A 25,921-nucleotide genomic window follows, 5' to 3' on the forward strand; every position below is an offset into this window, starting at 1 on the left:
CATTACTGGGTATATAACCAAAGGAAAATCAATTACATGAGTTCAGGTGTTTTTTTGGTAGAATGTTTATCACAGCACAATTCATAATAGCAAAGACATGGAATCCACCTAGGTGTCCATCAGTGGTGGACTGGATTAAAAAAAACATGGTACATACACACCATGGAATAGTGTGCAGCCATAAAAAAGAATGAAATCATGTCTTTAGCAGCAACTGGAAGCCATTATCCCAAGCGAATTAATGCAAAAACAGAAAACCAAATGCTGCATGTTTTTACTTATAAGTAGGAGCTAAGCACTGGGTGCACATGGACATAAAGATGGGAATAGTAGACACTAGAGAATACAAAAAGGAGGGGAGCAAGGGTGGAAAAACTAACTTTTGGGTGCTGTGCTCACTACCTGGGTGACGGGATTAATCATACCTCCAAACCTCAGAATCATGCAGTTTACCCAGGTAACAAACCTGCACCTGTTCCTCCTGAATCTGCAATTTAAATAAATGAATAAATAAATAAATAAATTTTTATAACAGTGCAAGAAAAACCTATGCTATTTGATAAGGAGTGTCTTAAGGCTTTGTCAAATTAGTAAAAAATACAATTCAAAATTTGTTTATGCCTGGCATGTATTGTTTTAAGAAAATAAAAGCAGTCACTTGTAGGAGGGCAAGAAATGCTATGTACGGGGTTTGCAAATATATTTTCTTTTCTTTCTTTTTTTTTTTTTTTTTTTTTGAGACTGGGACTCGTTCCATCACCCGGGCTGGAGTACAGTGTTGTGATCACAATTCACTCCAGCCTCAAACTCCTGGGCTCAAGTGATTCTCCCACCTCAGCCTCCCAAGTAGCTGGAACTATAGACATATGCCACCTGTCGGGCTAATTTTTTATATTTTTTTTGTAGAGACAGGGCCTTGCTATGTTGCCCAGGCTGGTCTCAAACTTCTGGTCGCAGGTGATCCTGCCACCCTAGCCTCCCAGAGTGCTAGAATTACAGGCATGAGCCATTGTGCCCAGCTGGATATTTTAGTTTCTATATTAAGTAGGCCATATGTGACGCAGAAAGGCATAGCACCTGAGTCTAAAAGAAGACACCCTCTGCAAATGGGTCTCAGGAGTAAATGAGATGAGCCCTGTGGAGACGAGCCAGTGAGGGGCAGGTCCCTGCTTCTACCCATGTAAGCAACAGGAAGAAAGTACCAGATGTAGATGGAGTCCTTGTCACAGAGGCACTGCCACAAGACCTGTCCTGTTATTTTGGGGGCTCTGTGGAGACCTGCAGTAACTGCTTTGAGTTCCTGTTTAAAGTAACTGAAGGGCGGAGGCCCATGGACATTCAGAAGTGGTACCAAAGCAGTTCTGACGTCACGTCCTGTCTGCCCTTCTGTGGGGGATTCCTGTGACACAAGAGCATCCTAACTTAGGATCAAAGTGGGAAATTAGTGACAATGGGCATTTGGAGAGCTTTTTCTTTTTTGTCCACAGCATCTTTTAAAAATAACAGTATTGAAAATACTCAATTAATGGCCAACTACGAGGAGGAATAAAGAGGATTGCAATATTTTGCTTTTCTCTTTCTTTAATTCCTTTGGCTCAGACAGGAGCCAGCTGGAACATGCATCTAAGATCATTTTTCATGTTTAATTGAGGTGCTTGGCTAGACATAGGGAAGGGAAAGCTAGGGCTTTCCAGGGCTGCTTGTCTTCAAAATGGGCGTGAACAGCATCCAGTAATCCATTCTGCAGCTTTGGTGTTTATGAGTTAAGATCCATCAACCCCAATTTCTCTCTCCCTGGACTGATGAATAAATGGGCTGTAAATTTCTTGCTTAATTTATCTTTGTAGGCATATACCTACAACAATTTCTAGGATTTAATGAGTGACAAGTAAATGTGTTGTTTTTTTTTAATGGAAATGAAGACATAGGGAAAGCTCTGTGAGTACACGTGTAAATTGTTAAGATCTTTTTAGAGTATGTACTTTGGCAGTAAGTTTTAAAATTGTTAAAAAATTTAGATATGCTTAAATCTAGCAGTCCACTATTAGGAATTTATCCTAAAGAAGTAATGAAGAGTGATTGCAAATAATTAACTACTGGGATATTCATAGCAGCTTATTTATAGTAAAGAAAAATCAGAAACAGTATTTTTCCAACAATAGAGGATTTGTTAATTTATGCTACCTCAATACAAAAATTTATTTTGCAGCCATTAAGAATAATGTTATGGAAGAAAATTTAATGATACATTTAAGGTTATGTTGTTAAATGGATTAAACAGGTATAAAGCAATACATTAAATTCTATTTTTAAGTTTAAAAAATCTAATAAAGACTGAAATATATCCTGAAATAAATACTTAAGAAAGTGGTATCTTGGCAGGGCACAGCGGCTCAAGCCTGTAATCCCAGCACTTTGGGAGGCCGAGGTGGGAGGATCACCTGGGTCCAGGAGTTTAAGACCAGCCTGGGCAACATGGCGAAATCCAGTGTCTCCAAAAAAAAAAAAAAACAACAAAATTAGCAGGACATGGTGGCGTGTGCCTGTAGTTGCAGCTACTCAGGAGGCTGAGGCTGGAAGATCGCTTGAGCCTGGGAGGTCGAGGCTTCAGTGAGCCGTGGTCATGCCACTGCACTCCAGCCTGGGTGACAGAGTGAGACCTTGCCTCAAGAAAAAAAATAAAAATAAGGAAAAAAGAAAGCAGAATCTCTCTAGCTAGTGGGATAACAGGTAAATTTTTTTTTTTTGGCCATCTGTTATATTCTCAGTTTTCCCCAACGTACATGTACTGTTTTTATTTATAAAACAAAAAGTAAAAATTTGTTTTTCCTCCAGAAGGAAAATATCTTTTTAATAAACACATGCTTTTTATATAAATGTACTGGTGACCAATCAGTAGTTTAAAGCATATGGCCTCTGGGACAAAACTTAGGAAATGCGTTTCATAGGGTTAAAAAGCAAGTGGGTGGCCGGGCGCAATGGCTCGTGCCTTTAGTCCTAGCACTTTGGGAGGCTGAGGCAGGTAGGCAGGTGGATTGCTTGAGGTCACGAGTTCAGGACCAGCCTGGTCAACATGGTGAAACCCCATCTTTACTAAAAATACAAAAATTAGCTGGGCATGGTGGTGCGTGCCCGTAGTCCCAGCCACTTGGGAGGCTGAGGCACAAGAATCCCTTCAACCAGGGAGGCGGAGTTTGCAGTGAGCTGACATTGTGCCACTGCACTCCAGCCTGGGAGACAGAACGAGACCCTGTCTCAAAAAAGGAAAAAAAAAGAAAGGCAATCAGTAGAACTGGGTTTGGCCAAGCTAGGCCTCCAGAGGTTTTTGTATGGTGGCCTAGGCTGAGAAGCTGAATGTGATTAAAAACCTTCTTTTGGAGGAGCCTTTCCCAAAGTAGGGAAGACAGGGATCTGGAATGTTCCCACTGCCCCTCTGGGACCTATTCTAGGTTCTTCCTCAGTCTCCAGTTGTCTGCTGGATTGAGGCCAGTGGACAGCACTCCTAGTTGATATCAGAAGGTATGTCCTGCTCATGTTTTCCCTGAGTTTCTTCTCTTGGGCCTTAGCAGTGTCCACACAAAACCTCTAGAATGGGCTTTCTTGAGACCATCACAGCCTCCAGAGCCACAGTGTGCTGGTTTAGCGTGGCCTTGGCTGCAGTCAGACGTGGAATTTCTGTTTTGCCTTTTATGTCCCTACCTCAGTCAGCTGCATTAAAGGAATGATGCGGTTTATGAACAGTCTTGGAAGACCAGACTTTAAAAAGGAACTGTTAAACTACATTGAGAGTAAGATGGTCCCATATATTTCAGGCCATTGTCATTTTCAGTGAATTCTTACTTATCTTGAGCACCTTTGGATAACATATTTCACCTTCCCAATTGTGAACTTTTCTGCTCCTAACCTTTAAGCCCTCTCACTTTTCACTGTCATCACTCACACTTTACTGAGCAGTAAATGATTTGCCAAATTAAGTTAGAAGTTTTTTCTCATAGCTTTTTGGTTCATTTTTGAATGTATTGCTTCATTGATATCTTAGTCTGCTGTGCTGCAGTAACAAAATACCACAGGACTGTACGGCTTAAACAACAGACAATATTTCTCACATTTCTAGTTTGAGAAGTCCAAGATCAGGGTGCCAGCATCGTCCGATTCTGGTGAAAGTTCTCTTCCTGGTTTGCAGATGGTCATCTTCTTTCTGTGTCCTCACACAGTTAGGGGGAGGTCAGGGAAGCAAGAGCTCTCACGCCTCTCTTCTTATGAAGGTCTACTCCCATCATGAGGGCTGTCCCCTCGTCACCCCATCGCCTCCCCAAGGCCCACCTCCTAATACCACCATTTTTGGGATTAGGGTTTCAGCGTGAACTTGGGGAGTACACAAACATTCAGTTCATAGCACTGATAGATTCATTAGGAATAGCTTCATACTTTGAATTTAAAGATGGATTTGTAGAGATTCTTTAATACAGTGTTGCTAAGTTTTTATTTTTTTGTTGTTGGGAAAATTTTTATTTTAAAATGGAAATGGAAATATACAGGAAAAGCTTGTGCTTTCCTTTTTTTTCTTTGCATAAACAATAATAATGCAATCCAGGTCAAAGCACAAGGCAGAAACTTGAGAAAAGAACAGTTATTACAAGTACATGGTCTTCTTTTCAAATATCCATGAAAACGTTTAACGACTGGATGGCTAGGTACCTACAGAAAGCTCCAAAGCAGTAATCTGGCCTTTTAGTTTCAACAGGACTATTTTGAATCTTAGATTTATCAGTCACTCCTTTCCCATTCTACTTGTTCTAAGAATTAAGTATATAATGAAAATAAAAAGCCCACATCCTGACTTTAAATCTCCACTCTCCTAAAAACCTGTTTGAGGAAACAAAAATGGGGAAGAAGAAGATCAGAGCAAAAATATTGTTAACACTGGCCGCCCTCATGCAGGTGGGCTACTACCAACTCCTGATGAACATCTGTAAAGAGTATAGATCTACTGAAAACCCACTTGTTTGTTTAATTCCTGAGCACTTCCAGCAAGCATCGGCCTTGGAACTTTTAAAGACAGAGTTAAGGTAGCACTTCCTTATTATTTCCCCTTTATCTGCTGGGCAGTAAACAAATTGAAATCATTGCCCTAATAGCAATATAAACTATTAGGTAAATGGCACATTGTAGATGCGGCAAGAGAAATGTCAGCAGGAAACTTCCCAGACACTGAACTGCAGGCCTTAAAATCGCTATGTAAGACCTGAATGAGGTTTCCCAGTTGGGTTAAGAAGGACAGGCCGTATTCACAGATACAAAGTAAAAGGAAGACACCTACCAAATCCAATTTTCACCCCTGGCCTGAGGTGTCAGCCTAATTAGAGATGGTCAGAAGAAAAGCCTGGACAAAAAACAAAACAAACAAACAAACAAAAAAACAATAAGCTCTGAAGTTGAGCCAGGGGAGGGGCTTCCTTGGGCTGCAGATCCAGTCCCTAGTCCATGGGGCCAGCACACGTGTACCGAGGAGATGCCTGTTGTAGTCTGATGCTCTCAGAAATACAAGTCATGCAAGAGCCCGTCTGCTTTTGATATGATTTCCCATATAGATTTCTTTATAAGGAGTTCTGTACTGGCCTGAAAATGTGACTCTGGTTTTTGACTATTATATTTCTGATTCCAAAATATAAAAAATATATTTTCCAAGCCAGGCATGGTGGCTCACGCCTGTAATCCCAGCACTTTGGGAGGCTGAGGCAGGCGGATCATGAGGTCAGGAGATCGAGACCAGCCTGGCTAACACGGTGAAACCCCGTCTCTACTAAAAAACACAAAAAATTAGCGGGCGTGGTGGCGGGCACCTGTAGTCCCAGCTACTCGGGAGGCTGAGGCAGGAGAATGGCGTGAACCTGGCAGGCAGAGCTTGCAGTGAGCCGAGATTGCGCCACTGCACTCCAGCCTAGGGGGCAGAGCAAGACTCCGTCTCAGGAAAAATATATATATATATATATTTTTTAATATTTTTTTTCCAGTATTATGTGTGCATGGATACATGTGTGTAACATTTTCTTATGTGAACATGGTGCATAAAACTCAATATCCAAGTGATGCATTCTCAGGCTGTTTCTAGGCCTGAAAGCTGAAGACAAGATAATAGGATATGGGCATCTAAAGGAGGTGACACCTTTGAGAAGCCCTCTCTCAAGGTACAGGAAGTCAGCTTCCTCTAGACACCACCTCTACAATTATTACGTAGGCTGCAGGATATATTCTAGAATTCTAAAATATTAATATAAGTTTCATGTATACTTGAAATATTTATGTGTTAAAATACTTCATGCAGTACTTTATTTCTATAAGCAAATTTCACACTAGTAAGTAGTTTTGATATGAGTGAAAATTGATTAATGAATTCTTTTAAAGGAATTTCATATTATAAATTGTTTGCACATGGGCAGCATCAGAGGACAGTAAAAGAACATACACTTTGTGTTACAAAGAATGGGATTTGAATATCAGCCCTGCTTACTTAGAAGCTTGGGCAACTGATTTAAACTTTATGAGCCTCACTTTCCTAATTACAGCGGGGTGGGGGGTAGTGATTAGGGGTAATTAGGGGTTGGAGATGAAAGGAAAAGCACATTGGGGATATGCTAGCCTCTTAAGAAGCGGTGGCAGTTTGTTGAGCCACTGTTAAGATTTGTGGAAGATGGTAAAAAGAGGGAACCAGTTAATAGTTGATGCTTTCTCCCTGCTAAGGCGCTTCCTAAATGTGTTTAGTGGAATGTCAAAAGGTGTTAAATGAAAAAGGGTTCCAGGAACAAATCCTTTTGTGGAACACTGCATGAGACAAAGTGAACCAAGTTCCCTTCTGTCAGAACATTCCAGACCTGCTGTCATACAGCACTGCAAGGTGAGGTTCTGTGAGGGTCCGTGCAGTTCTCCCTTCCCTGGACTTGTTTGACTGCATCTCAAGGACCAGGTGCCCTTGGGTTGTATTCAGGGACCGCTGTGTTGGGCTCTTCAGTTGGCTATTTCCCATGACCTTCTGTGCCTTCTTCCAGAACGTCCATTTCTCACTTCGCTTTGGCTACAAAATACTGAGTTAATTTTCATCTTGATCAGCATCTGAACTCTGCAATTGTTGGACTAGGCAAAGTTTTCAGGCAATCTAGACACAAGTGTCCTGTGTACTTTTGATAACCATAATAGGTCTTTTGGGGCATCTCTTACTTTCACAGTTTTTTCCTCTAGCTTTAATATTGACATTGTTAGACATTTATAGAATTTTGAAAAGTTTCTTAGCAGAGTAAAGTGTTCTTGCCACAGTAGTCATTTTGTGTAGTTTTTACTATTTATGGTAGAATAGTATGCTACAGGTACACATCACAATGGTAACCTGCATGGAATACAGCTAATCGCAGGTTAATTACTGTTCCTTAAAACATAAATTGCCAAGTATTTAGTGATTAACACATATTTAATTCCTTAATTAATGTTTTTCCTAATTGCTTCTGTGTTGACCTGCCCTCCTATGGTTGGGAAGCAGTGGGGAAGGGCAGGTACCTGCCATCCTCAGGGCACCTGCCTCCTTTGATTTAGACATTGATTTTTTGCCATTTGAAGAATAATATTTTCCTCATGTACTCGCCCTTTTGCTTTATTGTGCTGATAAAAAAAAAGAACTCTGCTTTGATTCTGCACCCCCGCCTCCTGTTTCCCACCCCTACACCCTGAGGCAAAGGAGCTAGCCACAGATTTCGTCATATTCTAATCATGCATGCACCCCAGAAGCCTCAGCTCCTACCCAGAATTTCAGCCTTCCTCTCTGCTTTCAGAAGACAGTGATTTTGAGCCCAGTCAGAGGCCAGGGAGGCAGTGATCTTTGATATAAATGGTTGCTTTAAAAAGAGAAACAATGCATAGGTAGCTGAAAATCTCCTTCCCCCATGGGTCTCCATAAAGAAGTGGGGCTGGGGAGGGTGGGCATGGACTATAGGGAATGGGAGGATAAAGTTATCAAATATGAGAGCCTTGTGGGTTCACGAGAGCCTCCTTGTTAAAACAAATGCCTTAGATATACTGAAGGGTCCTGGGAGAAGATTAGGTGTGGATTCAGCTTGCGCCCTGCTTGGAGTTCTTTGTGCAGCAAGGACTCAAAGGAACTTGTACTGGGGAGAGGGGCACTAAACCAAGATTCACCCTTATCAGTCTGACATCTTTCCTGGTAAAAGAGGAGTTGAGGGAATAGGGATGACTTGATCTTACCTATCTTTTCACATTTTGCTGCAAACTTTATTCCCCTGCACAGCTAGCTCGGTGCCTGTTTCTTTGCTGTATTTGCCTTCAGCCCACTGATTTTACTACAAAGCCATGTAAAGCCACAGCTAAGTGACAGCAGGCCCGCATACATTTGCTGCCTAGAGACAGTGTTTTAGAGTTGAATTGGTGAGTCTTTTCTAGATTGTGTTCCACAAATCCAGGGAATGTTAGGAGGCATTAATTGACCAAATGGAAAGAAGCACTGGGTTAAACAAAGTAGAACTGCTTCGTTCTGCAGGCCATTTCGGAGGCTAGGAGTGTTTTTGAATCTCCGGGAAGGACACATGGTGAGTGTGGGTGCCCAGCTGGAGCCAGAATTTGGGCTTTGCTGAGTATTTCTTGAGTCTAGTGTTCCCTGAAGTACACTTGGGAATACTGATATGTGCCAGTTGAAAAATAGAACATACTTTGACTCCATAAATTCCTTGGCTATGGCCCTTATTCCAAGTGCAAGACAATTGAATTGCTTCATGCCTCTAGAGGATGTGGGGAATTTGCTGTGGCAGTGAAATATCACTCTCTCTCAAGCAGGAAAGCTAGTCTAGTAGGTGCCGCAATACTCTGCATTTTGTGCTTAAAAAAGACAATATGTCTCAAGAAGCCACTGGGGACACAGTAGGTTGTCAGTTTAATATTGACTTAGAACTGTATTTAGGAAGTAGAACAATTTGCGTGATTGTTTTCACCCTCAAAGATCTTATTTTTGATTATTTTTTAAAACTTGCCACATCTCTAAATTTCATTCTTAACTTGTACTTCTTATGTGATGATAAAGGATAAGTACTTCTATTGTTTACCATCTTAATCTCTGCGTGGTCTGCCGCTATATGCATATCAACCCTGTTCTTTATGACTTCTAAGCCATGTTTTTGTCCTCTACCTTAATTTCTGTGCACGGCCTCTTGAATGAGTATATGACCTATGATTATATCATACTTTTCTCTAAAGGGAAGGAGGAAACAAAGAGAAAAGTGAGGAAGGTTGTGTTATTGGTAGGAAAAACAGGTGAAGACATTTAAAAATAACATTGCAAGCACTAATAATTAGCTCCATTGCAAATTTTGCTGTCTTTTGAGTGCCTTTAGCTTTCTCAAAGTAGATTTTTATTTTATTTTCTGATAACATGTCAATACAAACACAAATGCTTGAATATTTTGCTCCTGATTCTTAATGTGACATGTTTTGTGGTTTTGCCTGGACTCTTTAATATTAAAGAAACTTTACTGTATATGTTTTATTTTTATGTAACTCATTTGACACAAACAAGATAAAGTTTTTGTAAATGGGTGTGACCCACCTTTGCATTTTATTTAAATCAAAACCAGAAGGATAGACTAGGTAATGTGTGGGAGAACCAACGTTTAATCCCCTTTGTTCTAGGGAACTGACTAATGACTTCCACCAGCACATTTTCCTTGGTGAGTATCTGTGTTGGTAAGCAAATCCCTTTCTTTGCTTACACATAGCAAGGAAAAGTGGCAGCATGGAAAGCTAATTTTGCTCTTCACTGAAGCGGGGAGGATCAGGGAGGCTGTGGTGTTAAACTGCTTCTGCATTTCTCCTGTTTGGCAGACATCTGAAGGATAGCCTGATGTCAAACCTCTCAGAGGCCAGTATCCAGGATGGATTTTCATGAGCAAATGAGAGCAATAGTCAGTTTAAACAACTGGTTTAACCAGTTGTTTCCTCTCTGAAAGCAAATGGCTTTTCCCACAGTCTCCAAAGGCTATAGGGATACAACATCTTGTCTCCTGAAATGCTATTAGTTGAGATTGAATGAATATTGATTCTCTCTATTCTACATTTTCTTACATCCCAGGGCTGCAAATATCTGGGCGTTATCAGCAAAACAGTGAAATGGAGACTCAGAGTGAACCACATCACATGAATAGAGTTGATTCTCGATTATTTGCAGCAGTTATGTTCTGTAAAATTACAGAGAACACTGAATTAGTGAATACTGAACTACTTCTATAGGAAATATGGGGTTAGGTTCCTGTGAGCCTTTGGTCACAATGTTTTTGTAATGTTTTTGTCTACTGATCAATACCGGATGCCGTATGTAATTTATGTTGTTGATTCATTAACTTTGAACCTATGGCAAAGGCCAGTACCACTGTAACTCATGCTGACTGGAGCGCTTCTAACATGTGTATTTTTTCCTTAAGGCTCATCTTAGCGTCCTTGCACTCTCAGGAGCACTAGACAGCCCTGAAGCACTATATTTGGGTTCATTTTAAAAAGCAACGTTACCAAAAAGAAGCACAAAAATGGAAAAGCATGGCACTAACTAGACCACGATAAGGATACTCTTTTATAGTATCAGAGCTGAAACAAGGCGACAGAACATTGCCCTGCCTGACTTCAGCTAGGAACATGTGTGTTGAGCAACTCACATTTTTTGCTGCTCTGTGCATGTCCGCAGATACCATGAAAGCTTTGCAAGTATTGATTTTTGGGGGTTACAAATAAATTTTAGGGAGTAGCAAATTCACAAATATGAGCCTTGAATAATGAGGATTGACTGTATTTTCTGTCAAGCCAAGTCAAAAAAACTAAGTTCTGTGTTGTGACAAAATTATTTCATAATAAGATAAGGTGACTCTGTGATTCTGTCAGACCCACAACTTTTAAAATAATCACAATTTAGATTGGGCTAAAGGGCAAAAACATTTTTCCTAAAAATGTTTGTTTCAGTAAAAACAACAAACAAAAACCATTTAGTCCAAATTTAGCTAACACCAAAGAAGATGGTATAAAATGAGATCTTAGGGTAGGTTTTAATATTAAAGTGTTACTAATTCTCAGTAGTTTACAGTGTCTTTATAGAAGATTTTTGACTTCTAAATGAGTTAGGTTTTATTTTATTTTATTTTTAATTTTTCTGATATTTTGAGGCCTATGAAGTAATTAATTTTTCTGGCTTTGTTTTGGTATATTGCAAATATGTATTTTAAAAATTTGATAATGATATTACAAACTTAAGTGGGTATTTAGAAAACCACACATGTGATATAATTGAAAACAAGTCAAGCCAGGGACAGGGTCTTCTTCTCATTGCTAGAATGTGAGGCTCCCCCATGGAGCGCAAGGCATATTGTATTTGGCTGTGATAAAGTATTGCTTTTGACATGTGCTTTCTTGTTAATCAGAGTATTGATGGTGCATTGGTGAGCCAAGCAGGAAAGTTTTCTCTAAAAACAGGAGGCTAGATAGTAAATATTTCAGGCTTTACAGTCCAAACGCTGTCTGTGGCAGCTACTCAACTCTGCTGCTGTTGTATGAAAGCAGCCATAGCCAAGATGTAAATGAATAAACGTGGCTTTGTTCCAATAAAACTTTATTCATGGACATTGAAATCTGAATTTCATATAATTCTCTTGTATCACAAAATATTCTTCTTTCTGTTTTCTCCCACCAGTGAAAACTATAAAAACCATCTTTAGCTTGTGAGCGATATAAAAACAGGTGGTGGGACAGATTTGGCCGTGGGCTGTAGTTTGCCAACTCTTGTATTAAACTTGATGCTGTCAAAACTATGCCGTATCAGTCTTCCCAATTGCTATATTTCTTATAAATCTGGATGTAAAAATTTTAGAACCTGTGTATCTATACATTAAAAGGTGTGTGTGTGTGTGTGTATATATATGTATGTAAAGGTATTCTATATACATATAGTGTCTCATACTTGCTAGTTAGGCAGTTTGGCAACATGAAAAGAGTCCAGACTTGGAAGCAAAATAGATCTAGGATTAGACCCAAATCTGTAACTACTTGTGTGAACTCAGAAAAATTACTTAACCTTTCTAAGTCATCTTATCCCTGAAAGGGAGCTAATATGACCTACCTCACATAATTGATGGGGGAAAATTAGATAATATATGCAAAGGATACCTGGGACATGGAAGTATACAAATAAATAGTTTTTTTTGAATTACTAAATTATTCTTTTTGAAGAAAAACTTGGTACATGGCTCCATAAGAAATTCAAACCTTCTAATATAGAATATTTTCAATATATTTTGTTCCGTTTCATAAAAATGAACATGGCACATCCCCAGATCAATTTCTTACACGTTTCTTTTTTCCTTTTCCAATGGTACTGTTGGTATTCTCATGTTACTCTTTCCTCTGACCTCAATCTTTTTCGACCCGGATGCTGGCATTTTCAAACATTCCTATGATTCCCACTGGGTTCTGCACACACTTGGTATACTTCACTAGAGCAATACCTGTACTTTTCATTAGAGTAGTTCCTTATTTGACAAAAAGAGAAAAAAGATTATTTTTGCTTTTGAAGCCTTATAAGGGCACTGGCTAGAGAGGTGTACATAATGGAAAATTTGCCAGATAGCCAGAGTTCACAACAGTGGAACCTTGAACAGAATTCCAAAATCTGTTTATAAGAAACTTGTTTAAGATGACCCTCATCCTTTGAGCTGCATGTTTTTTTTTTCTTTTTTGATAACGGAGTCTTACTCTGTCGCCAGGCTGCAGTGCAGTGGCACAATCTTGGCTCACTGCAACCTCTGCCTCCCGAGTTCAAGTGATTCTCTTGCCTCAGGCTCCCGAGTAGCTGGGACTACAGGCGCCCGCCAACACGCCCGGCTAATTTTTGTATTTTTAGTAGAGACGGGTTTCACCATGTTGGCCAGGATGGGCTCGATCCCTTGACCTTGTGATCCACTCACCTTGGCCTCCCAAAGTGCTGGGATTACAGGCATGAACCACTGTGCCTGGCCTGAGCTGCATGTTTTAATCCTCTTGTTTGTTAGAAAAAAAACAAAGGGAAATCTCTCAATGGTTGGGTGTTTAAAATAGGTAATCTCAGACTACTGTATGGCATCTAAATTCAGATAACTTCATTTAGTCGTATTTATTTCACAATAGGAAACTCTCCAGTACAGCTCATACCTACTTTATAATTGTGGTATGTATTGAAACAGTTGCATACTAAGTTGTAAACTTGATGAAGCAGCTAATAAAACTTGTACTCAAGTCCCTTAACAAGTTTCTAAGAAAGAACTAGAAAATGGTTTTAATAAACATAGAAGTTGTTGCTTCAAACTTGTGACACAAATGTATGACATAAGAAACTTTTGTTTATATATTATGTATTAATTTTGTATGTATGTATGGGTAGGCATGCACACATAAACGTATCAACAAAGATTGCTTTTCTCCTATCTTGACTCTGCAATTAGCTTTAAGTCAGTGTTGGAACCTGTCAAGTTTGAGAAGTTTACTTTTTAAAGTTTCTAATTAAACTCAGAGGGGGCAGGAAACATATTTGTAATCAGCTGCTGTCCTTCTTTGCCTCTTGATATTCTAGTTGGAAGACTGAGGGGAGCAAATAAAATTGCAGATAGAAGCTTGTCTCTAATTCTTTTTTGTGGCCTTGCTGACAAGTCATCTTGCTGGGAAATATGGGGCGAATTGGCTTGTTTCTGAGACTCTCTTTGCCTCTAGTCCACAGGGATGAAGGCAGATAGTTGCTGGGAAATCCATGAGTTGATACTAGCAGGCTGAAGCTCTGTGCTGGGGGTTGTGTGGCTGTGGCACAGGTTCCCTGGCTTGTTTGGAGGGGAGGAGTCATGGTTCTGCGTCAGGAAAGGATCCCATTGCTATGAGCTGTGTTTATTGAATCTGTCATTTGGCCATTGCTATCTTGTTCTATTCTTTCATCATTCATGTTTCTTGTTTTTTCCCTAACTAAAGCTTACTTTTTATAAAACTGTCTGCATTGCTTAGATCTTCCAAAGCATGCGGTAGATATTTTATAAATATTTGGACTAAAAGGCTCAGAATTTCTTAGCGTAAAACTTCTGAGTCATCCATTCTGTGACGCGATGGATGAAAAAACAGATCTAGAGAAGTCTAGATGGCTCTTCCAGGTCTCAGATCTTCTCTGCCTTTTTTTTTTTTTTTTTGTACTCTCCTTTGCTTTGGTAAGGGTATGACCCTGTATAGCTTTAAACAAAACATTATGGATTAAATTTACACATACAGATCAACTTAAAAGTAGATTCACACGAGCACGTCTCACATGTACACTATGTTCTAAAAGGTAATGCATTCTCTTCAAAGAATAAGGATAATTCCATTTTTAGTAGAAGCTTCAGACATTGTAGTTGATAAAGCAAAATAAAATTTCAATATGAAAGATAGTTTTGATGAGGAAAGATTTCTTCAGCTGTTCTATCCATGATATATTCCAAGTGCTTATCACAGTGCCTGGCAGAGAGGTGGCACTCAGTAGAGCCTTGAGTTCATTGAATGAATGAATGCATGGATGAATAAGAGAGAAGAAGGAAGAGAGGATGGCAGGTGGGATGAAGGAAGGTCTGATGAACATTTCTGCGTTTGGTTTTCAAAACACATTTTTCTAACCACAGCACCCATGCTCTTGGGTAGCTGGTAGTGGTAGCATCAGCAGCCACCCCTCAGCTGTCCCTGCAGTAGCCATTGTATCAGAGCAGCTTGCAGGTTCCTGCAGTGCCAACTGTAGCTGTTTCCTGGGAGGCAGGATGTGACTGTTATTGAGGGGACCTGTTTTGAGGGCCTCAGGAATGCTTTTTCCTTTACTTGCTCTCAATATTCATTTTCCTTTTGTACTCTCAGTTGTCTTCTTATAGACTTTAGTAGTAGACAGATAAATTAGCAGGGTCCCATTGCAGGAATATCCGTGCATATCTTCCTTTCTCTTGTATTGTCAGTGGAAACTATTTATTAAACTTACGAACAGGATGAAGTTTTATTTCATTTCTGGTTTTCTGTTGTGCCTTTCCTCTCCGCTGTGTTATATGTTATTGTAATAGTGTTGTGGCACAGTGTCATCTAGTCTAGCAAGAGTTTCTGGGATGTCTTCTGTCCCTGTACTCTTGAGCTTTTCCACTCTGGGCTCTGCTGATTGCTTTCTCCAGTTTCACATCCATCCCATACACAAAATAATGCAGGCCTAGGATCAAAGTTTTTGTTTGAGCAATGTGTAGAAGTGAAAACATCATATTTGGAATCAGAAAAATTGAGTTTAAAGATTGCATCTACGATAGACTCGTTGCATTTATGGACAATTACTTTGTATCTAAAGATTTCATTTTTTTTGAAACATGAAATTCTTGATTTTTCGTATGAACTAATGAGATAATGGAATGATATCTTCCTAGTGTGTGTAACATATCTGCTTACTAAATGTTAACTTATAATTACTTTTATAAATTGAAATTTTTATGGAAATCATTGTAGAGTCACATGCAGTAGTAAGAAAAAAGATATTCTTGAGTACATGTTATGCCATTTCCCAGAATGCTAACATTTTACAACACTGTAGTACAATTGCCTTCTGTACAATTGTACAAATATGTACAATTTGTTGTGTACAACTTTGTTACCTGAATAGGCTTGTGTATCTTCCACCACAGTGACGATGCTAAACAATTCCACCAACACAAGGAGTGGTGGTGATGTCCTTTTGTAAGCAAACCCATCTCCCTCCTGTCTCATCTTCCTCCATTCCTACCCCTGGCAACCACTAATTTGTCCTCCATTTCTAGAATCTTAACATTACAAAATGTTACATAAATGGAATCATAGAGTACATGATCTTCGGGGAGTGGTGTTTTTCACTCACCATAGCTATCGGGAAGTTCACCCAAGTTGTTAGGTACATCATTAATTTGCTCCTTTTTATTGCTGAGTAGTATTTAATACAGTGGATGGACCACAGTGTATTATTTACAAGTTGAAGGACATCTGGGCTGTTTCTGTTGTTTGGCTATTATGTATAAAGCTTCTGTAAATATGATGTGCACAGATTTTTATATGAATGAAAGTTTACATTTCTGTGGGATGAATCTCCAAGAGTGCAATGGTTAGGTTGTATTTTAAGACTTACCATCATGAGTCATGGTTCCCCGGTGAGATAGTTTCATTCTGTGTGTAAATGGAGGTCAAAATAACATTCATGTGGATCTTTTAAATGATAGCCTGACAACTGACACTTTTAGTCAATTAATCAGATTAAGAAAATTGATAACCCTTTTACTGGTTCTTTCTTTCTTTCCTTTTTTTTATTTTTTTTTATTTTGTTGAGACTGAGTTTTGCTCTTGTTGCCCAGGCTGGAGTGCAATGGCACAATCTCGGCTCACTGCAACCTCCGCCTCCCAGATTCAAGCGATTCTCCTGTGTCAGCCTCCTGAGTAGCTGGGATTACAGGCGTATGCCACCACGTCCACCTAATTTTTGTATTTTTAGTAGAGTTGGGGTTTCACCATATTGGCCAGCTAGTCTCAAACTCCCGACCTCAGGTGATCTGCCTGCCTCGGCCTCCCAAAGTGCTGGGTTTATAGGCCTGAGCCACCGCGCCCAGCCCTGGTTCTTTCTTTTTTGCCTTAATTTCTCTGAAGTGGCTCCACCATCTTAAAAAACTCCGCCATTCTTAGAACCTCCAGGCATGTAGGCCTTTTCCTCTTCTCTTGCTTCTCCAATTATCAAGGAAGAGCTAACGCCCTCTTGATTTTGCCACTGTGGACATTTTTATATTATTTTCCTCTTGATTCATAGCTTTATTGTCTGATTTTCAGTTAGCATATTCTCTTCACTGCATTATTAATAGGCTATCTTTCCTGGTGTCTCTGTCCTGAAGTGGAGTCTTCTGCAGCCTGGCCACAGCTGACCTTTGTGGCGGTAGGTCCCAATTCTCCCCTTGAAGGCCATGGTCATGACCACCTCAGGGCCTTCACATGTGCCCAGGACTGAGCCTGGTCCTCTTCACACTGTTAGCTCCTTCTCATCCTGTAGCTATTGGCACAGATTTCACCTCCTCATGGGAGGTCCTCCATGTGTATATTCTTATAGTACACTGCACTCTTCTTTCATTACACTTACTGTATTTTTTTTCACTTGTGTAAATCTTACTACCCCACATGGTCCAGTGTGGTCAGAGAGTTACTTTCAGAACCTTCAGAAAAGGTTTAGATCACCTAAAGCAATCTGAATCTTAACGTTGTCTCTTGAGGGAAAACAACCACAATCCAAATGTGTGTATGGCAGTGGGTTTAACATACAGTGCAACCTTAAAAGTCTTCTTTAGACTTTGTTTCATGTTCAGGATCTCTCACAAGCTCAACCCTGGCTTTGGGTGGGGAATCCTTTCTATCTGCTGAAACTGTTGGAGAGGTAACCCCAAAGCCTCTTCTATCTTGGTGTCCCCATCTTCCACCCAAGCAGCTTACCCACCAACAAGTTGCCGTCTGTGCCAACTCACTATCCTGTGAGCTTCCTTGCTTTTCCTACAGTGTATGTGTCATCCCCCGCAACCCCATGAAGTATCCTTTCACTATGGGTTTTCTAAGTTGGGGTTCTGTCTAACGCATTCACTACCTATTGACCTCCCTGAAGACTGGGGTGGGGTCTTGCCTATCTTTGTAGTCTAGAACCTGGAACATTGACTAGCAGATGTTACGTACATGAATGAATGAATTGGTGAAAGAATAAACGAAATTATGTGTCTTATATATAGGAGATACTTGGTAAAAGTAAGACAAAATGAATAAATAATGTAAATCTTTCTTAATTTTCCAGGTGATTTTTGAAGTGATAACTTCTGGACATCAAGGCTATCTCGCTATCGATGAGGTGAAGGTGTTAGGACATCCATGTAGTAAGTTGTCTTTATTTGTAAATATTCGGGTACATCATTGGGGGCATGTTTACATTATGAATGAAGAGAAGGGATGAAAACCTGTGAAGAGGTCATCTTGCCAAGACAGTTCCCTGACAGGCCTGTATTGTTGGTTTGCCAGCCCAGAAATCCAAAAGCATGTACTTTGTGTAAATGCCATGGTTTGTATAAGTCTTTTAAAATTTGGTTCAGGAATGGGGAATCAAGGAATTCTTTGGCATGCTCAGACATCTTTGCAAAGAACCTGTTTATTTGTTGCCGTGGTCTTTAGAATTCGCTTTTCAGTAGTAGCACAAAGTTAAATATTGAGAATCTGTGCGTTTTGTTTATAAGTCCAGTATGTTTTTGGCACAGTTCCTTAGTATTTATCACATGGTTTCAGGTGATATAGCTGCAAACAGGCCTGGGATCTGTCAAATAAAAGACACCTACCTAAACCACCTGGGGACCCCAGAAATGGCCTGCTCTTCATCTTTTAAAAATTAATACTTTAAAAAAGTACAATAGGTGATAAACATACAATTTTTAAAATTTCTACTATGAACAACTAACAGTTTGTCATATTTGTATGTGAACCTTTTTCCTTAAATAAAATAGTACAAATTGCTAGATCTGTTTCTCCCCAAACCCTGCCCCCCAGGGGCCACCACAGTGGTGAGCTGGTTGTTGCACCTGTTATGGTTTCTAGTCTGCACACAGCAACAGACTGTAGCTGCTTGAAGCAGAAAAGGCATCCTGTTGATAGAGAATTGGAGGGCAGTGGTATTCCTGAGAACACTAGTGGTCTAGACTCAGATGATGAGCAGGCCCCCAAAGTGAGGCTACGCAAGCAGCCACAGCAACCACTATGGCAGGGGAGCCAGCTGCGAGGACAAGGGGAGCTGGCGCTGTGTCTCTGTGCACCTTACCCTTGGAAGATGACCCTTGCCTAGACATTCTGCGCTGATTTGGGCCTTGGCATCTTTGGCCTTAGGTGCAAAGCCCTGAGGGGGATAGTCAGGGTGAGCGAGCTAGATCATGCACTCATTCATGCCTGGCAATTGGTGTCACTAGGAAAGTGAGTTGTTGGCTTTTCCCACTCTGTCAAGGGAGCTGGGCCTCAACTTTTACTGAGAAACATATAGTGCTGAGCAACTGAACACCGCAAATGTGTGTGTGTGTGTGTGTATGCGCATGTGTGTGCTCTTTCCCATAATCCCCAAGGGTTTATAAAAGCAAAAAAGTAAGGATTGCCTTTTATAAATGCTAATGAATGGTTTCCAGCCATACAAATTTCTCTGTATTCTTTTTTTTTTTTTAACTTAAGTGTTAGATATTTTAGGTCAATCCATGGTATTCTATCATATGGATTTACTACATTCTATTTTTCTAGTATTTTATGAACATTTAGTGTTTCCCACAGTTTTTCTCTATTAAATATTGCTGCAGTGAGCATTATGGATGTGCCTACTGGTGCAGTGTTGAGAGCCTCAGTGGAGTGTGTTCTTAGAGGCTGAATTGCTGGGATGTAGTGCAGAGACGTTCTTAGTTTTATTGGGTGCTGCCAAAATGCTATGAAGTGTCTGAACCAGTTTATATTCCCACCAGCAGTGCATGGTAGCTTTATTTTCCCTGTATCTTTGTTCAAAATTGATATCACCAGACTTCAAATTTTTGGCCATCTGAGGGATGATAACCTGCTTTATTTTTAGGATCTCTGGCATTAAAGAGAAACTGGCTAGTTCATATATTTCATGGGTCTTTCCTGATGACCCTATGCAAAATTATGAAAGAATGATTATATCTACAATAATAAAAATGGAAATATTTGCAGGAGTGGCTCAGCTTTTTATTGCATGGATTTGAATAGACCACCAGGACCCTCTTTGTTAAGCTTTATAGAGAAGACCTGTGTGGTTGTTACCTGATGAATGTATCATGACACAGGTGTTTTAATTCCATCTAAAGGGGTTTTGCTCTCTCTGATATCTTTATTTGGTGCTTTGAAGCTTGCCAAACATTGAAGTTAACATAAAGCAATCATTTGTTCATTACAAAGGCAGATGTTACTTTTGTGTCATGTTACATTTGTCTTTTCTTCTGTTGTCAGCAAAACTGGGGAGTTCAAGAAGATTCCCTGTCCCCTCCCATTTCATGAAAAGACTGGAAAACCATCAAGGCTGTACCTAATTGAAACAGCAGGGTAAATTTAGGAAGCAGAATGCAATTACCTGAGCTGGAACTCAGCCAAATCCTCAGAGTAATAGCCTCCAGCTAGAAAAGTGCCATGAGATCTTCTAATATGCACAAAGTTCATGGACTCTGATTCACTTCTTACTAGGAGGTTAAAAACATAAGAGCTGTAATTGCATGCCTACTAAGTGCTGAGCACTCTAATGACATAGTCTGCCTCCCTGTTTCTTAGAGCAGAGCTCACGGCAAGGCAGATGTACTGGGTGCAGGTGTGGTGGCTGCAGTCAAGGTTGCACATGGCTTTCTATTACATATCCTGGGCTCCATCTTCCACATCTGGCCACTAGCCAGCATAAGAGCTCCTGAAGTGTAGTGCCTTCTATTTTACTGGATTTTAGTCATTGTGTGCAGCAAAGACCTAAAGACTTCATGCTTATCAGTGCCTTCCTAAAACATGTCTCAAGCAATTTTGTTCTTCCCATAGGAGAGAGCTTTCTGTAGCCATAGAAATGGTGTTTATCTTCTCTCCTTTGGAGAATACCTGTGCTAATACCTAATTGGCTTTGGGAACTGCTGTGAGGGCACAGAATTGCAAAACAGGCTCTGTACCAAGGTGATGTATGGTACAACAGCATTGTGAACTGGAAGCCTTAAATGGTTTTGATGATAGCTCTTCCTTAGCTTATTTTTTCCTGAATCTCTAAGTTAATGGGGGAAGCATGCAAATAAAGATTTTAAAGAAGGCAATAGTTTGTTCTTAAAATGAAAGCTTTACAGGTAATATTTTATGAGCTTTCTTATCAGGATTTCATAATAATGAATTATTTTGAAATTTTGATGTTCATTAAATTTAAATCCTAAAGGAGCATTAATATTTTATATCTAAAACTATGCTTTCCAAATGGCTGCAAAATTGCTGAATCTCATTTGCTCCACTGTAAAGGCTCTTGTTTGGATTCATATAGGTTTATGAGTAAGCATTACAACATTTTTTAATATTAGATATTCTGATACAAGTATATAGTTGCTCATAAAATTGACTTTAGTGACAATAAGATGCAAGATCAGCCTGAAATATGGAGATGACTTTGCAAAATCAGCAGCTCTCTAGCATATGACCACTTCTAATAAACAGATAATTTTTGCATTTGATATGCACACTAAAAATATATTTGGAATTTGGTTCAATAATCCTGGTAAGAAAAGAAGCATTTTATTACAATAGCTTCCTAATGTTGCCTCCTGTTCTTAAATACATTATGAGCTGTGCATATATGGGTATTTCTCTTATTACCTTCTGGTGCTGATAATGTATTTTTATGTCTTAAAAGCCGTATGTAATTTTAATAGATTTATTGACATATCACTGACATAATTTATCCATGTTTAAAGTGTACAATTCAGTAGTTTTTAGTTTATTCACAGAGTATGTACCCGCGACCATAGTCAAATTTAAAATATCTTCAACATCCCCCAAAAGACCCACTACCCATTAATAGTCATTCTTTATTTTCTCTTGTTACTGGTGGAGGGTGTCCAGGTTCTTGGTGTCTTGAACAAAGAATTGGACAAAACGCACAAACAAAGCAAGGAAAGAATGAAGCAACAAAAGCAGAGATTTATTGAAAATGAAAAATACACTCCACAGGGTGGGAGCTGCCCGAGCAAGTGGCTCAAGATCCCCATGACTGAATTTTCTGGGGTTTAAAATACCCTCTAGAGGTTTCCCATTGGTTACTTGGTGTACACCCTGTGTAAGTGAAGTAGTGGCCGATGGTCAGTCTGATTGGTCGTGGGAGGGGACCATTCAGAGGCTGAAGTGAAGATACAAAGTTACACCCTCTGCAAACATCTGATTGGTTGCAGAAAGTGACCAATCAGAGACTGAAGTGAAGTTACAAAGTTATACTCCTATAAAATGAAAACTTAGCCCAAGACCAGCCTGACTGGTTGCAGGAGGGGACCAGTCAGAGGTACTTTCAATTTTTCATCTGCCACCCAGAAAAAGTTGGGGGAGGCAGTGTGCAAAGGAAGTAGTCTCTGGTCCTTTTGTCACTTGGGTGTGGAAAGTTGGGATTTTCCTTTTGATTTAGTTCTAGGAAGTCAGCATGATTCGGCCTCAGGTTCCTTGCCTCTAGACCCTATTCTCCCGACTTACTCTGGCCACCACTCCTAGCCCTAGGCAACCATTAATTTACTTGTTGTTCCTGTAGATTTGCTTGTTCTCCATATTCATTTAAATGCAGTTGCGCTATATGTGGCCCTTTGTGTCTGGCTTCCTTCACTTAGCGTGTTTCAAAGTTCATCCATGTTATAGTGTATATCAATATTTCACTCCTTCTTAAAACCAAATAGTATTTTATTCCATGGATATACCACATTTTATGTAAGCATGCATCAGTTGATGGACATTCAGGTTGTTTCACCTTTGGGCTATTGGGAATAATGCTGCTGTGAACATTTGTTATCAGTTCTCTTGGGTATCATGCTCTCAGACATATACTTAGGAGCAGAATTGCTGGGTAGCATTTGAAGAACTGTGAAATTGTTTTTTAAATTGGCTGCACCATTTTCCATTTCAAACAGCAGTGTATGATTTCAATTTCTTCATATTCTTGCAAATATTTATGTCTTTAAAAAAATCATAGCCATCCTTGTGGGTTTCAGGTGGCACCTGTTTGTAGTTTGGATTACCTAATGACTAATGATGTTGAGCATCTTTCCATGTGCCATTTATATGTATGTTTGGGAGAAATGTCTATTCAGATCCTTTCCCCATTTTTAATTGAGTTGTTTATCTTTTTATTATTCAGTTATAAGAGGTTTTATATATCTACATACAAATTCCTTATCAGACATATGATTCAAAAACATTTACCCCCAATCTGTGAGTTGTTTTCTCATTTTCTTGATGGCATCCTTAACAGCACAAAGATTTAAATTTTGATAAAGTCCAATTTTCTGTTTTTTCTTTCATCACTTAGATACAAAACTATTTGGAGTTGTAGCTAATAATTCTTCTAAGATCACAAAGCTTTTCTGTGTTTTTTCCAGAGTTTTATGGTTTCAATTTTTTTTTTTTTTTTTTTTTTTTGAGATGGAGTCTCTCTTTCTCACCCAGGCTGGAGTGCAGTGCTGTGATCTCGGCTCACTGCAACCTCCGCCTCCCACGTTTAAGTGATTCTCCTGCCTCAGCCTCCTGAGTAGCTGTGATTACAGGTGTCTGCCACCAAGCCCAGCTAATTTTGTATTTTTAGTAGAGACGCGGTTTCACCAATTTGGCCAGGCTGGTCTCCAACTCTTGACCTCAGGTGTTCTGCCTGCCTCAGCCTCCCAAAGTGCTGGGATTACAGGCATAAGCCACTGTGCCCGTCCTATAGTTTCAATTCTTACTTACAGGTCTATGAGCTATTTGAGTTAATATTTGTGTATGCTGTAAGAAAGTGGTGAAAATTCATTCTTTTGCATATGGATATGCAGTTATTCCAGCACCACTTGTTGACACACTGTTCTTTCCCCATTAAATTGCCTTGGTACCCTTGTTGAAAATTAATTAATAAATATAAAGACATTTCTGGACCCTCAGTTCTATTCAGTTGATCTACATGACTATTCTGCTACAAGTATGATACTATTTTGATTACTGTAACTTTTTAGTAAATTTTGAAATTTGGATCAGTGGGTCTTCCAAGTTTGTTCTTTTCTCATTATTGTTTTGGCTATTCTGAATCCTTTGTACTTTCTTTTCTTTTTGAGACAGAGTCTCACTCTGTTGCCCAGGCTGGAGTGCAGTGGCACTATCTCGGCTCACTGCAAGCTCCGCCTACCGGGTTCATGCCATTCTCCTGCCTCAGCCTCTCGAGTAGTTGGGACTACAGGCACCCGCCACCACGCCCGGCTAATTTTTTTTTTTTTTGTATTTTTAGTAGAGATGGCGTTTCACAGTGTTAGCCAGGATGGTCTCGATCTCGTGACCTCGTGATCCGCCCGCCTCAGCCTCCCAAAGTGCTGGGATTACAGGCATGAGCCACTGCGCCCAGCCAATCCCTTGTACTTTCAAATGAATTTGAGAATCAGCTTATCAATTTCAGCCAAAAAAATTCAGCTGGGATATTGATAGGGATTGTGTTGAATCTGTAGACTGGTTTGGGTGAGGGGTTATTGCTATCTTAACATTATCAGGCTTTGTGATCTGTGAATGTGGGATGTCTTTCCTTTTATTGAAGTCTTTTAAAATTTCCTTTAATAGTGTTTGTGGTTTTCAGAGTACAAGTTCTGTTCTTCATTTGTTAAATTTATTCCTAAGTATTTTATTTTGAAGTTGTTTTAAGTAGAATTGTTTTCTTAATTTTATTTTTCGATTGTTCATTTCTCGCTTGTAGAAATGCAGTTGATTTTGTTTATTGATCTTGTATCCCGAGATCTTGATGAACTTGCTTATTAGCTCTAATTGGTTTTTTGGTGGATCCATAGGATTTTCTGTATGCAAAATTGTGTCATCTTCAAGTAGGTTTTCCAGATTCCTCTTTTTCCAACCCAGGTGAATTTTATTATTTTTCTTGCTAGTTTGCCATGGCTAAAACCTCCAGTACAATGTTGAATAGAAGCAAAAAGAACAGAACTGCTTGTCTTGTTCCTCATCTTAGGAGGAAAGCTTTCAGTCTTTTAGCATGATGTTGGCTGTGGTGTTTTGTAAATGCTTGTTTTTAGGAAGAAAGTTCCTTTTTCTTCCTAGTTTGTTGGATGTTTTTATCAAGAAATGCTGTTGGGTTTTAGCAAATCCTTTTTCTCTATCAGATTATTATGTGGTTTCCATCCTATATTCTGGCATATTATATTGATTGATTTTGGGATGTTAAAACAACCTAGCAGTCCTGGAACACATCTCACTTAGGCATGGTGTATAATCTTTTTTAATATGTTGGCATGTAGTAATGAAACATTATACGAAGTTACTGGGATATATGATGCCTTCAATTCTGAAATCTTAAAATTATACAGAATCATGCCCCATTATTTTGATGCCAATTTAAAAACAAAATAATACAGTAAAAAAGAGATAAAGCCCTTCTAAACCCATGTGCTGTATATTGGATAAATTGAATACAAAATCCAAGACTGTCCTGTATTATTACTTGGGCAATAGAAAATAAGTCAGCAATTTCTTTAAATATTAAAGTTTATAATATGGCCTCCTAAATTCAAAATTATTCTTATTTTTTAAAATAGTATTTTCCTTATTAATTTGTGTAGTCACACATTGCTTACCACTCCCAAATTTAGATTTTTTAATGAAGATTTATTAAATAGTGTGATTGAAATAAGAATAACAGTGACAAAGCACAAATTAGAATTGTTTTCGGAATTATGTTCTGCTGAATAAAGACAGATTCATGTGCTTTGGTTGAGAGATGTGTGGGACTCAGAATTGACCTTTCATTTTAAACATGTGGGAACACAATTTGGACTTTTCTCTAAAGGAATATCATTCTTCTTAAGATAGAGTCGACTTCTAAAAGTTATTTATATGTAGTGGCTACCTTAGTTTTCTCTGATAAGAATGTTGAATCTGTTTTTCCACTTGAAAAATTATTTCATTAAAGCCTATTCTTACCTTTCAAGGAAAACAAAACTGACTTTGACCTGAAACATGTTAAGAGAAATTTTCTGCTTCTATCACAGGAATTACTTGGCTTTTTTTGGACCTATAATCTCATTTGTATAAGAAGAAAATAATAATGTTTTTCTCACTGAGTAAATAT

The 25,921-nt window shown here is 39.2% G+C and overlaps 1 protein-coding gene across 26 annotated transcripts in view; it reads left to right on the forward strand.

Annotated features, from left to right (window-relative positions):
* PTPRM (protein tyrosine phosphatase receptor type M) overlaps positions 1–25,921 on the forward strand; it is an 839,541-nt gene that overhangs the window by 321,302 nt on the left and 492,318 nt on the right. For all 26 annotated transcript variants that reach the window (XM_011525708.3, XM_047437715.1, XM_011525712.3 and 23 more), the window contains exon 4: positions 17,888–17,966. In XM_011525708.3, coding sequence (XP_011524010.1) covers positions 17,888–17,966 — 79 coding nt within the window. The remainder of the gene's footprint in view (positions 1–17,887; positions 17,967–25,921) is intronic.

The sequence above is a fragment of the Homo sapiens genome, chromosome 18 (genome assembly GCF_000001405.40).
Source record: "Homo sapiens chromosome 18, GRCh38.p14 Primary Assembly".
Taxonomy (NCBI): Eukaryota; Metazoa; Chordata; class Mammalia; order Primates; family Hominidae; genus Homo; species Homo sapiens.